Genomic DNA, 12,758 nt, shown 5'->3' with positions numbered 1-12,758 from the left:
ATTAGCCGGGCGTGGTGGTACACGCCTGTAATCCCAGCTACTCGGGAGGCTGAGGCTGGAGGATCGCTTGAACCTGGGAGGCAGAGGTTGTGGTGAGCCGAGATCGCACCACTGCATTGCAGCCTGGGCTGTTAACAACAGCGAAACTCTCTTTCTCTAAAAAAAAAAAGGAGGAACCAAATGAGCAAAATATAAACTGAAAGATAGAGTTGAGAAACATAAAGAAAATAGCCTTCCTAGCAAAGAGTAAGGAAGAGTAGAAAATATGGCTAATTTGGGTTAAGATCGCAGGGAGTGAAAGCAAGGTGAAATATTAAGATCTGATTCAGGCCAGGCACGGTGGCTCATGCCTGTAATCCCAGCACTTTCGGAGGCCGAGGCAGGTGGATCATCTGAGGTCAGGAGTTCGAGACCAGCCTGGCTAACATGGTGAAACCCTGTCTCTATAAAAATACAAAAATTAGCTGGGCGTGGTGGCAGGTCCTGTAATCCCAGCAACTCGGGAGGCTGAGGCAGGAGAACTGCTTGAACCCAGGAGGTGGATGTTACAGTGAGCCAAGATTGCGCCATGGCACTCCAGCCTGGGCGACAGAGTGAGACTTGGCTCAAAAAAAAACAAAAAAAAACAAAAACAAAAAAAACCATCTGATTCAATAGACAACAGAGAGCCACTTTAGGCTCTTGAGGAAGTGAGCAGTATAATAAAAACAGGACTTTAGACATAGTGCTGATAGCACCATCAGTATAAACTAGAATGGGGCAAGACCATAATCAGAGACACTATGAATATGCTGTTGAAATACAGATGTTGAGCTGATGAATACTTAAGAGGATAGCAAAGAAACATAAAAAATAAGGGGCAAACATGAAAATAACTTTGAAAGTGGAACCCCAAGGATTTCATAATAATCAATTTTAAATGTTCAACTCTTCTTGCTTTGGGAGACTGAGGTGGGAGGATGGTTTGAGGTCAGGAATTCAAGACCAGCCTGGGCAACACAGCGAGACCCCCGTCTCTAAAAAACTTTTACAACTTGCCAGGCGCAGTGGCATATGCCTGTAGTCCTAGCTATTTGGGAGACTCAAGTAAGAGGATCGCTAAAGCCCAAGAGTTTGAGGTTACAGTGGACTACGATTGCACACTGCATTCCAGCCTGGGTGACAGAGTGAGACCTCCACTCTTCTTATTTTGTTAGTAAACAAGATCACATCAATTAGCAACATAAAGAACAGAAATGCTGTTCTTTTTTTTTTTTTTTTCCTGAGATGGAATCTCGCTCTGTTGCCCAGGCTGGAGTGCAGTGGAGCGATCTTGGTCTTGGTTTACTGCAACCTGCACCTCCCCAGTTCAGGCGATTCTCCTACCTCAGCCTCCCGAGCAGCTAGGACTACAGTCGCCTGCCATCACACCCGGCTTACTTTTTGATTTTTAGTAGAGGCAGGGTTTCGCCATGTTGGCCAGGCTGGTCTCGAATGCCTGACCTCAGGTGATCCGATCGCCTCGGCCTCCCAAAGTGCTGGGATTACAGGCGTGAGACACCTCGCCCAGTCAGAAATGCTGTTCTTTAATCCCTTCAGAGTTAACTTTGAGGCTAATAGGTTTTCAGCTATATCTGCCTCAGCAATACTTGCCCAGACACTTTGTTCCACAGTAAGTCAAATATTTTTCTTCTGTACCCAACACATACTGATAATCACCACTTGTACCAGGCAGTCAACCTTAGCTGTACCTGTAACAACCCACGCAGTGAGCTGCCTTATCTCAGGCTGATGTGCTCAGCAATTCCAACCCCACATCTGTGGCTGAACAGTTTAGAAAAAAGAATAACTATGCTCTCAGACTTTTAATGGGTACAAGTCCTTGCAGGGCTGTATGGGTGTGTGGGTAATATATATGTCTGAGAGCTCATATTCTAAGGGTATATTTGGGTGTGCTGGCCTCTTGGAGAGGTTTGGGGATAGGCACTAGCTTGATAACTGAGTAGATGCAACGTCATCCCATCAATTTCAGATTTCCCATTTCTCACCAAACAATTCCAAAGGAAGAATTTCTTTCTTTTTTCTTTTTTTTTTGAGACTGAGTCTCGCTCTGTCATCCAGGCCAGAGTGCAGTGGCGCAATCTCGGCTCACCGCAACCTCCGCCTCCCGGATTCAAGCAATTCTCCTGCCTCAGCCTCCCAAGTAGCTGGGATTACAGGCGTGCACCATCACGCCTGGCTAATTTTTTTGTATTTTTAGTAAAGACAGGGTTTCACCATATTGGCCAGGCTGGTCTCAAACTCCTGACCTTGTGATCCGCCTGCCTCAGCCTCCCAAAGTGCTGGGATTACAGGCGTGAGTCACCGTGTCCGGCCTGGAAGAATCTCAACTCACACTGCCTAGGGTCATAGGATATGGTATGTACTACACAGTACAAGGGGAAAGAGGCAGGAAGAGTTCCAAAATGGTAGAAATGCCTCATTCATTCAAATCAATTTGATACAATTTATTATGCATCAAGATCCTATATAATGTGATCCCTGGTTACCTCTCTGGCCTCTTTTCCTATTCTGCCTCCCTTTTCTAACGGTACTCCAGCCAAACTAGCCTCCTTGCTCTTCTTTGAACACATCAAAGTCCTTGCTCTTGCCCTCTACCTAGAATGCCTTTCCCAGCTACTCACACAGCTCTTGCTCATTTCATTCACATGTCTACTCACTCAAATGTCAGCTCCTCAGAGATGCCTTCCTTGATCAACTAAAATAATGCACCCACCCTCCCTCTTCCCTGACTCTCTACCCACTTACCCTGCTTTTTCTTCATAGCATTTATTATTACTTGACATTATTTATATGTGTATGTACGTATGTGTGTATACATACTCCCCCCGCACACAGAAACACACATATACACACAATCAGGGGAGGGATTTTATCTCTTGTTCTGCTTCACCCCAGCACACAGCAGGTGCTCCAGGAATATTTGTTGCATAGTGGATCAATGAATCTTTCATATGTTTGGGACTGAGATAAGTACTGGAAATATAAAGATGAATAAGTCATGTCCCTTGACTCAAAGGAGCTAACAATCTGGCAGAGGAGATGAACACACCACGAGAAGAGAAAGCACCACGGCTTCAGGTATTTCCCCCACAGAGTGTCCTCTGGAGAGTGAAAAAACAAGTTATTTGCATACTTGTAAACCTGAAGTGTTAACTGCTATAGCACTGTTATTGATTTATTTATTTTTAATTTATTTATTTAGAGACAAAGTATTGATCTGCCACCCAGGCTGCAGTACAGTGGCATAATCACAGCTCACTGCAGCCTCCAACTCCTGGGCTCAAGAGATTCTCCAGCCTCAGCCTCCTGAGTAGCTAGGACTACAGGCACATGCTACCATGTCTGGCTAATTTTTAACTTTTTTTTTGTAGAGATGGGGTCTCACTATGTTGTCCAGGCTAGTGTCAAACTCCTGGCCTCAAGTAATCCTCCCTCTTTGGCCTCCTAAAGTGCTGGGATTACAGGTGTGAGCCACTGAGCACAGCCCAGAACTGTAATATTAATAAAAAGTAATAAAAAGACAAATTGCTGGTCATAAGAGACCTAGTTTCAAATTCAGATATTGTCATTTGTTAGCAGGGCAACTATTTAACCTTTCTTAGTTTGTTTCCTAATACATAACATGGAAATGATACTGGTGCTTCAGAGTTGTTATAAAATAAGATAATGTATGTAAAGCACTTTTCATACTGCCTGGAACACAGTATGTACTCAAATGTTAGCTATTAATATTACTAACAGTTGACTTAAATGATCCCCTGAGGCCCAATGCCCAATCAATAGCTAAATCTTACCAATTCTATCACCAAGGAAACCTCTCCTATCCTTTCCTTTCTTTTCATTTTCACAGCCCTAACTGGTATCTCTGATTCCAGTCTCTCCCTTTGAATTCAATTCGCACTTTCCTAAATAACTAAATCCAAGCCCCTTAGCTTAGCATTTAACATCCTTCATGTTTGGGCCACAATTTACCTTTCAATCCTTTTTTCCCACTACTTTCTGGAATCCACCACTCTAGCCAAATTAAATTACTCTTCTAGATATACTCTATGCTTCCCCACTATGATGCCTGTTCATTTTATTCCCTCCTGGAATGCTCTTCTCCTCTTTACCTTCGAAGGTCCAAATCTTTCCATCCTCTTTCCAGACATAACTCAAATGCCATAATGCCTTCTCAATTAAAAACAATCTCTCTCTTCCCAGAATACCTGCATGTTATTTATATGTCTTCTATAGCACCAATCCCTTTCAACTTTATATTTTGGTTATGAACTCTGCAGGTTCCCTGTTGAAAGATCCATGCCAGTTCTTATACTTACTACATACTCAAATAAATATATGTTGAAGGCCAGGCATGATGATTCATGCCTGTAATCCTGGCCTATTCGGAGGCCAAGGTGGGTGGATCACTTGAGCACAGGAGTTCAAGACCAGACTGGACAACATGGTGAAACTCCATCTCTACAAAAAATATAAAAATTAGCCGGGCGTGGTGGTGCACACCTGTAGTCCCAGCTACTTGTAGGGCTGAGGCAGGAGGACTGCTTGAGCCAGGGAGGTTGAGGCTGCAGTGAGCTGAGATCATGCCACTGCATACCAGCCTGGGTGACAGAGTGAGACCCTGTCTCAAAATAAAAATTTAAATTTAAATTTAAAACTGTATGTCGGATCTACCTTTGGGAGTATTCTGGTTTTATATATATATAAAATACACACGAAGATGGATAGATGGATACATGTTGAATGAATATTTCGCAAATAGATATTAAAATTAGATTTAGCTTCAACAAGAAAATTTCAGCCTTGAACTAGAATTTTCTGATCTAACCTGTATTACAGCTCCTTCACAAAAGGAAACTGGAACAAACAGTACTATACTTTCTAACCAGTGGTCATATTAATTTTTTTTACTTCTGGATTTTAACAGGCCACATATTCTTCCTTTCACTTCCAGAGTCTCAATCCCTTTTGATCAGAAACTTTCTACTTCTCAAATTCTACAATATACATTTAGATTTAAAAGCAAAGTGAGCCTGGGCAACATAGTGAGACCCCATCCCTACAAAAAATTTAAAAATTAGCCTGGCACGGTAGATGCATCCTTGTAGTCCTTGCTACTCAGCAAGCTGATCAGGAATTCAAGGTTATAGTGAGCTAGGATTGTACCACTTCACTCAGATCACTGCATTCTGCCTGGGTGACAGAAGTAGACTCTGTCTCGAAAAAATAAATTAAAAATATTTTAAATCAAAAAAATTAGGCTAGGCACAGTGGCTCACGCCTGTAATCCCAGCACTTTGGGAGGCTAAAGTGGGAGAAGTGCTTGTGCCCAGGGGTTTGAGACCAGCCTGGCCAACATAGCAAGACTTCATCTCTACAAAAAAGAAAAATTTTTAAAAGTTTAAAAACGAAAGCAAAGTGACACTCTTTAAAATATAGAATATAATTGTAATTCAGGACTAACTAGTTCTACCTATTAACAGAGTACGCCAAGCTCACAAAACAATAATAAACAACAAGGATGATGACCACCATTCTTTCCAAGTAAAGCTGCTGCTGATCTCCTGTTTATAAGGCTCCAAGATGATTTTCAAGCACAAGAAACACCCTGTATTTGACTCATTCAGCTACAGTTTCACTCAGACCCTAATGGGGAGGAGGGAGTTTTAAGACAAGCAATAGCATTCTGAATTCCACCAACAACTCTACCATGCCTTACTTGCTATGTGGTTGTGGCTAAGTGTCTTAGCTTCCCTGTGTACCAGATTTGTTCAAGAGCAGCTAAGTAGGGAAGGAAAACAAAAGCCTCATCTGCCTGAAATCCAAAAATACACCCCAATTATTTGTTACAAAAGACAAAATAATGTAAATTGAAATGCTGTTGGTGAATTCTCTTTATTAAAATGAAGTCATCCCACCTTTCAAATACCAGTCATTGTGTCTGATTTCCGAATTCATTACAGGAAGAACTGTGTATGAAGTCACCCAAACACATGCACTCTCCACTTCCCTTAATTGAAAGTTGCTGATTTCCGAGGAGCCAGGGGCTGAGCAGAATGTAAACCTAAAGGCTAAATCAGTAAACAACCCCATCCAAACTGGTCTAAGAGGAAAGCGAGGTGGGTGGGGAGGAAGGTGGGTGACAGGAGAAACTCGGCTGACCACTGCGCCAAGTCAACGCACTCACAGCTCTCGAGGTGACACACACTCCCCTTCCCACCCTCGGGCTGTCAAGTCGGCTGTTTTGGTCCCAGCACCGTGGGGGCAGAACTCCAGAGAAGCAGCTCAAGCTTCAGCTGGGGCCGGGGACCCTCGGGCAACCCGGGCCTGACAGATTGGGGGATGGCAGCCCACCGCCCCCAGGGTGGACAGCCCGAGACAGCCCCAGGTGTGGCCTCGGCCGTAGCCCCAGCCGGGCCCTGCGTCCCGGCAGCCTCACCCAGGCCTGTCCCCGGGACAGCTCCCGCCCCCCAGCTCGGTACCCCGGCTCACTGGCTTGGCTGATCCGCTGGATGTTGCCGCTGCACGTCTGGATGATGCTGCTGAAGTCCCGGAGCTGGGGCCCCGAGGGCCCCGGGTTCCGGTACATGTCTAAGGGACCGTATGACATGACGAGGAGCTGAGACCTGCTCGCTCTACACCGCTCTCCTACCGGAAGCAGCCGCCAGCCGGGACCCGCAGGCTGACGGAGAAACTGGGAAGAGCAAGGGCGGGGAAGGAGCTAAGGCTGCGTGCGCACTAGCCCCGCCCTCACGCGGCGCGCACGCGTCCTCCCCGCCCCGGTCCAAAGTGCGCAGGCGCCGCTGGGACTGGAGCTGGGACTGGAGCTGGGACTGTAGCTTAGAGACAGGACTCCCCGAGGCTTGGGGATGCAGGGCGGGGAGATGACGTCACCTAGTTGGGGCTGAGATTGGATGAGCTTGGGTGGAGGTGTTGTTTCTCGCCAGGGCACAGTGACAAGAGGCAAGAATTTTCGATTTGCATAAAACTGTACCAGATGATCTCAGCCCTTACATCCTATTCTGTTCTGAGAATTCAGGCCCAAATATGGGAGAATTCAACGTTGAAACTCAGACCCGGAACCAAATCGTAACCCGAAATTCCTCTCTACTTCCATCCCCAGGGCTTTGGTAGTGTTTGGGGTTTCCAAACCACTTTCATTTCTCCCTCCACCCCTCTTCTAATCTAAACAATAAAATAATGTTTATTGAGCACATACTATGTGAATCCTCACCGCAATTCACTTGTTCATAAGATTTTTCACAGCAGGGGACGATGCTCTATCTATATTTTTATCATTAGAATAGATAACGGAGAGTCGGTTTTTTAAATGTTGAAGTAAAGTAATTCATCAAAGTAAGCATTATTATTTTCCCTCTTACCGATGAGAAAATTAAGACCAGCGAGGTTAGTTCGCCTTGCTGAAATTTGACTGCAAAACCCAAACGCTAAGCTGACTCTCTCCTCACCTCGCTACTTCTCTAAAATTCATTCTCGTCTAAATCTCTCCCAAATAGCTCGTTCATCTATATCCCAAGCCGGGATATCTTGGAGAACTAGATTCCTAAAATTTAAAAATCGTTCCCTTAAGTAATTTGGAATGCATGACCTCAATGTTCCCACAGAAAACTGCATTTTTGTAAGCCTATGTTAAAAGGAAAGACATAGGATTTTGGTTTGGGAGGAGATCAAGATAGTGAGAAGTGAAGGGGAACTGGCTGCGTTTCCTGTGTTCTACACCCCACCCCACCCCACCCCAGCCTGCTTTGTAGTCTTTGGAAAATGCAAAGACAGAAAGCTGCTTGCCTGGATGAAAGGAGACCCAAAGTGAATGAGCCTGTATATGGCCTTAGGATTTTTTCTTTATTTTATTTTTTTTGAGACAGGGTCCCGCTCTGTCACGCAGGTTGGAGTGCAGTGGCGCGATCTCTGCTCACTGCATCCTCCTTCTCCTGGGCTCAGGAGGTCCTACCACCTAACCTCTGAGTAGCTAGGATTACAGGCGTGCGCCACCACGCCCAGCTAATTTTTATATTTTTTGTAGTGTTGGGGTTTGGCCATGTTGTCCAGGCTGGTCTCAAACTCCTGGGCTCAAGCAATCCACCCACCAGCCTTAGGATTTTTTAAGGGTGACTATCTCTATTTTTCGTTGGAGAATTTATGAGAGCATTTTTTTTCCCTGTCTCTAGAAAGAGACGGATGACATTTGGGGACTCTTATTTTGGTTATTTTATTTTATTTTATTTTTGAGACAGAATCTTGCTCTGTTGCCCAGGCTGGAGTGCAATGGCGCAATCTCGGCTCAATGCAACCTCCGCCTCCTGGGTTCAAGCGATTCTCCTGCCTCAGCCTCCCGAGTAGCTGGGATTACAGGCGTGTACCACCACGCCCGGGTACTTTTTGTATTTTTAGTAGAGATGGGGTTTGACCATGTTGGCCAGGCTGGTCTCGAACTCCTGACCTCAGGTGATCCACCCGCCTCGGCTTCCCAAAGTGTTGGGATTACAGGCGTGAGCCACCGCACCCAGCCTGTTTTGGTTATTATTATAAAACCTTACCGTTTCTTAGAATCTGTAGTTTTATGTCAAATCTTAAGCAAGTCATGTAAATTGCACTTTTTTACCTATATAATAGTACTGATGATTTTTTTCATTTACATTTGACACTATTTAAAGTGAAGTTCAGTAAAGATATTTTTCTTTTAGGAATTAAAAATATTGTTTTCTTTCTCCATGTAAAATAAAAGTGGTTTTTAGGCTGGGCGCGGTGGCTCACAACTGGAATTCCAGCACTTTGGGAGGCTGAGGCAGGCTGATCATTGCTTGAGCTCAGGAGTTCGAGACCAGCCTGGGCAAAATGGCAAAACCCTATCTCTACCAAAAATACAAAAATTAGCTGGGCATAGTGGCCTGAGCCTGTAGTCCCAGCTACTCGGGAGGCTGAGGCAGGAGTGTAGCTTAAGCCAGGGAGGCAGAGGTTGCAGTGAGCATCTCTCATAGCAGTAAATCTGTGCCTTGCAAATACTGGATGTCAAACAAACATTTATTGAATTAACACATGAATAATAAAAATAATAATTTTATCATTGCTTAAATGCCTGTTAGGTGCCAGGCAGTATGAACACATTTTGTGTACGTTATCAGTAATCTCCAAGATAAAGCCCATCTGATAAAGACCACCTGTAGTCAGACAAAGTTAAGTTTATTAACTTGCTGCTGCAAGGGAAACTGCACACCAAAAGAATCATGGAGCATGTCACAAAACACAGGAAGACAGTGAGTTATTCCAGGATTTGGGGGAAAGAAATGTAGATAAATTTTTAAAGAAGCAGTGTTTTGATAGCCCCCAAACACACCAGGCTATGTGTAAAGGGATTATCATCAGGCCCCAGCTAACAAGATCCTGTTTCCTTGGAAACCATGATGCCAAGATAAATGTGGAATGTTGTGTCTGGAAACCCCTTATCTGAAGCTCTGCACCTGCGTTAGAAATTGAGGCTGCTCTTCTGCATCAAAGTAACTGATCCTCCAGGTAAGAGTGATATATTCCATTCTTACTGATAATTTGAGCAACAAATTTTCTAAAAATCTATGGCTTTAGAGAAAATGTCTCTCAGCTCTACATACTTTTGTTAATTAACGAAAGTAGTCTTCATGGGTTTGCACCCATCAAGGCGATATTAGCTCCTTGGTACGGATAAAGAAACTAGAGATTCTGGGTACTTGCCTAATGTCATACAGCTGTTAAGTGACAGAGCCAGGATTCCCATGCACCTTCTGACCCAGCAATTCTACTCCTAACTATATACCCAACTATGCGTGTTCCAAAAATCAGGTATAGTTCATAGGAGCATTTTTAGGACCAAGCAGCATTTTTCTATACTTATTTACTTTTTGTTTTTTTTTTTCGGAGACAGGCTGGAGTGCAGTGGCGTGATCTCGACTCACTGCAGCCTCAATCTCCCTGGCTCAAGCCATCTTCCTACCTCAGGCCTCCAAGTAGCTGGGACTACAGGCACGCACCACCACACCTGGCTAATTTTTGTATTTTTTTGTTGAGATGTGGTCTTGCCATGTTGCCCAGGCTGGTCTCAAACTCCTGGGCTCAAGCAATTCACCCACCTCGGCCTCCCAAAGTGCTGGGATTACAGGAGTGAGCTATGACACCCAGCCCTTACATTTAATTTTTATTGAGTTATAATTGATATACAATCGAATGCACAGATAGTAAGTGTTCAGCTCAATGGATTTTGACACTTGTACACATCCATGTAACTGCCACACCCAAATCAAGAGATAAAACATTTTTATCATCACCCCAGAAAGTTTCCTTGACTTATGCTCCTTTTTAATCCATTTCCCTCATCACTGGAAGTTACTTACTGATTTTTTTTTTTTTTTGAGATGGAGTCTCACTCTGTCGCCCAGGCTGGAGTGCAGTGGCACGATCTTGGCTCACTGCAACCTCCACCTCGTGATTCAAGCAATTCTCCTGCCTCATCCTCCCAAGTAGCTGTGAATATGGGCATGCGCCACCATGTCCAGCTAATTTGTTTTGTATTTTTAGTGGAGACAGGGTTTCACCATGTTAGTCAGGCTGGTCTCGAATGATCCACCCGCCTCGGCCTCTCAAATGATCCGCCTGGCTCAGCCTCTCAAAGTGCTGGGATTACAGGCATGAGCCACACTGCACCTGGACTTTACTTTCTGATTTTTGTCACTACAGATTAGCTTTGTCTGCTCTTGGACTTCATACTTTATATATTCTTTAGTGTTTGGCTTTTTTCAATTAACACAATGTTTTTGAGATTTATCCATGATGTCACATATATCAGTAGTTTGGTCTTTTTTTATTACTCATTAGTATTTCCTCATATAAATATACTTACAGTTTGATTATCCATTCTCTTATTGATGGATGTTTGCATTGTTTCCAATTTGGTGTTATTATGAAGTTCATAGCAGTATTTATTTTTACTAGTTCCAAACTGTAAACAACTCGAATATCCATCAACAGAGGTTTGTATAAACAGATATTATAAAGCACAAAAATAAATGGCCTACTGCTGTGTGAACAACATAGGTGACCTCTTCCCAACAATGCATAGCTAAAGAAGCCAGACACAAATTAGCTAGGCACAGTGGTGCACACCTGTAGTCCTAGCTACCTGAGAGATCAAGGTGAGAGGATCCTTGAGGCCAGGAGGTCAAGGCTGCAGTGAGCTATGATTGCACCACTGCACTCCAGCCTGGGCGACACAGCGAGACCCTGTCTCTTAAAAAAAAAAAAAAAAAAAAAAAAAAAAAGGAGAAGAGGAAGCTAGACATAAAATGAGTACAATCTGTATCATTTCATCTTTATTAAGTTCAAAACTGGCCAAATTAAATCTATGTTATTAAAAGTCAGAATAGGGCCAAGTGCAGTGGCTCATGTCTGCAATCCCAGCACTTTGGGAGGCCAAAAGGATGGATCACTTGAGCTCAGGAGATCAAGACTACCCTGGACAACATGGTGAAACCCTGTCTCTACAAAAAATACAAAAATTAGCTGGGCATGGTGGCACAGGCCTGTAATCCCAGCTACTCGGGAGGCTGAGGTGGGAGGATGGCTTGCACCCGGGAGGCAGAGGTTGCAATAAGCCAAGATCATGAAGTATCACTATTACTATCAGTATGGTGAGCTTCCTGGGGACTGGTAGGGAGGAGTTAATGGGGAAATTCACTTAGGTTGCAAATAATACTGTATTAAAATTAGCACTCATCATATATTGCTGGTGGGGATGCAAAATGGTACAGTCACTTTGGAAAATAGTTTTACAGTCTCGTATACAGTTAAGAATAAATTTACCATACAACCCAGCAATTCAGCAGCTCCACTGCTATATATTTACCCAAGAATAATAAAAACACATTTCTATTAAAAGACCTGTATGCAAATGTTTACGGCAGCTTTATTCGTAATAACCAAAAACTGGAAGCAGCTCAAGTGTCCATCAACTGCTGAAGAGATAAACTGTGGTACATCCATACAGTGGAAAACTATTCAGCTATAAAAAGAAACTACTGAGACATGGAATAAATTACTGAGACATGCAAAAACACGGATGAATCTCAAACACATACGCTAAGTGAAAAAAGTCAGACGTAAAAGGCCATATCCTATATGATTTTATTTATATGACATTCTCTTTTTTTTTTGAGATGGAGTTTCACTCTTGTCGCCCAGGCTGGAGTGCAATGGCATAATCTCGGCTCACGGCAACCTCTGCCTCCCAAGCTCAAGCGATTCTCCTGCCTCAGCCTCCCGAGTAGCTGGGATTACAGGCATGTGCCACCATGCCTGGCTCATTTTGTATTTTTAGTAGAGATGGGGTTTCGCCATGTTGGTCAGGCTGGTCTTCAACTCCTGGCCTCACGTGATCCGCCCACCTTGGCCTCCCAAAGTGCTGGGATTATAGGCGTGAGCCACCGCACCTGGCTACATGACATTCTTGAAAAGGCAAAGCTATAGGAATATAAATCAGATTAGTGGTTGCATAAAGGCTGGTGTGGAGGGAAGGGCACCAAAGGACTCAAGGGAACTTTTGGGGTTGATGAATATGTTCCATGTCTTGATTATGGTGGTGATTACACAGCTGCATATACTTGTCAAAACTCATTGTGCACTGAGGGTTATTTTTGTGTATGCCAATTTTATACACACACACAGAGACACAC

The 12,758-nt window shown here is 43.9% G+C and overlaps 1 protein-coding gene across 1 annotated transcript in view, besides 6 other annotated features; it reads right to left on the bottom strand.

The window, feature by feature from the left end:
* The window catches only part of STX12 (syntaxin 12), a 51,225-nt gene extending 44,484 nt beyond the window's left edge, over window positions 1-6,741 (bottom strand). Inside the window, exon 1 of the mRNA NM_177424.3 lies at window positions 6,535-6,741. Within this exon, the coding sequence (NP_803173.1) occupies window positions 6,535-6,652 (118 nt within the window). The 5' untranslated portion in view covers window positions 6,653-6,741. The remainder of the gene's footprint in view (window positions 1-6,534) is intronic.
* Window positions 5,904-6,404: an enhancer, noted in NCBI's record as "H3K27ac hESC enhancer chr1:28100067-28100567 (GRCh37/hg19 assembly coordinates)". NCBI's record gives its function as "activates a minimal SCP1, AML or CMV promoter by ChIP-STARR-seq in primed H9 embryonic stem cells {active_cell/tissue: H9 hESC(primed)}" and the evidence as "EXISTENCE:reporter gene assay evidence [ECO:0000049][PMID:30033119]".
* Window positions 5,904-7,021: a biological region, named in NCBI's record as "H3K27ac hESC enhancers GRCh37_chr1:28099566-28100066 and GRCh37_chr1:28100067-28100567".
* Window positions 6,282-6,491: a silencer, noted in NCBI's record as "silent region_529". NCBI's record gives its function as "represses an Ori minimal core promoter by ATAC-STARR-seq in GM12878 lymphoblastoid cells {active_cell/tissue: GM12878}" and the evidence as "EXISTENCE:reporter gene assay evidence [ECO:0000049][PMID:35858748]".
* Window positions 6,405-6,905: an enhancer, noted in NCBI's record as "H3K27ac hESC enhancer chr1:28099566-28100066 (GRCh37/hg19 assembly coordinates)". NCBI's record gives its function as "activates a minimal SCP1, AML or CMV promoter by ChIP-STARR-seq in primed H9 embryonic stem cells {active_cell/tissue: H9 hESC(primed)}" and the evidence as "EXISTENCE:reporter gene assay evidence [ECO:0000049][PMID:30033119]".
* Window positions 6,602-6,751: an enhancer, noted in NCBI's record as "active region_570". NCBI's record gives its function as "activates an Ori minimal core promoter by ATAC-STARR-seq in GM12878 lymphoblastoid cells {active_cell/tissue: GM12878}" and the evidence as "EXISTENCE:reporter gene assay evidence [ECO:0000049][PMID:35858748]".
* Window positions 6,872-7,021: an enhancer, noted in NCBI's record as "active region_569". NCBI's record gives its function as "activates an Ori minimal core promoter by ATAC-STARR-seq in GM12878 lymphoblastoid cells {active_cell/tissue: GM12878}" and the evidence as "EXISTENCE:reporter gene assay evidence [ECO:0000049][PMID:35858748]".

This window comes from Homo sapiens, chromosome 1 (genome assembly GCF_000001405.40).
Source record: "Homo sapiens chromosome 1, GRCh38.p14 Primary Assembly".
NCBI lineage: Eukaryota > Metazoa > Chordata > Mammalia > Primates > Hominidae > Homo > Homo sapiens.
This window is presented reverse-complemented; position numbering and strand designations above follow the sequence as displayed.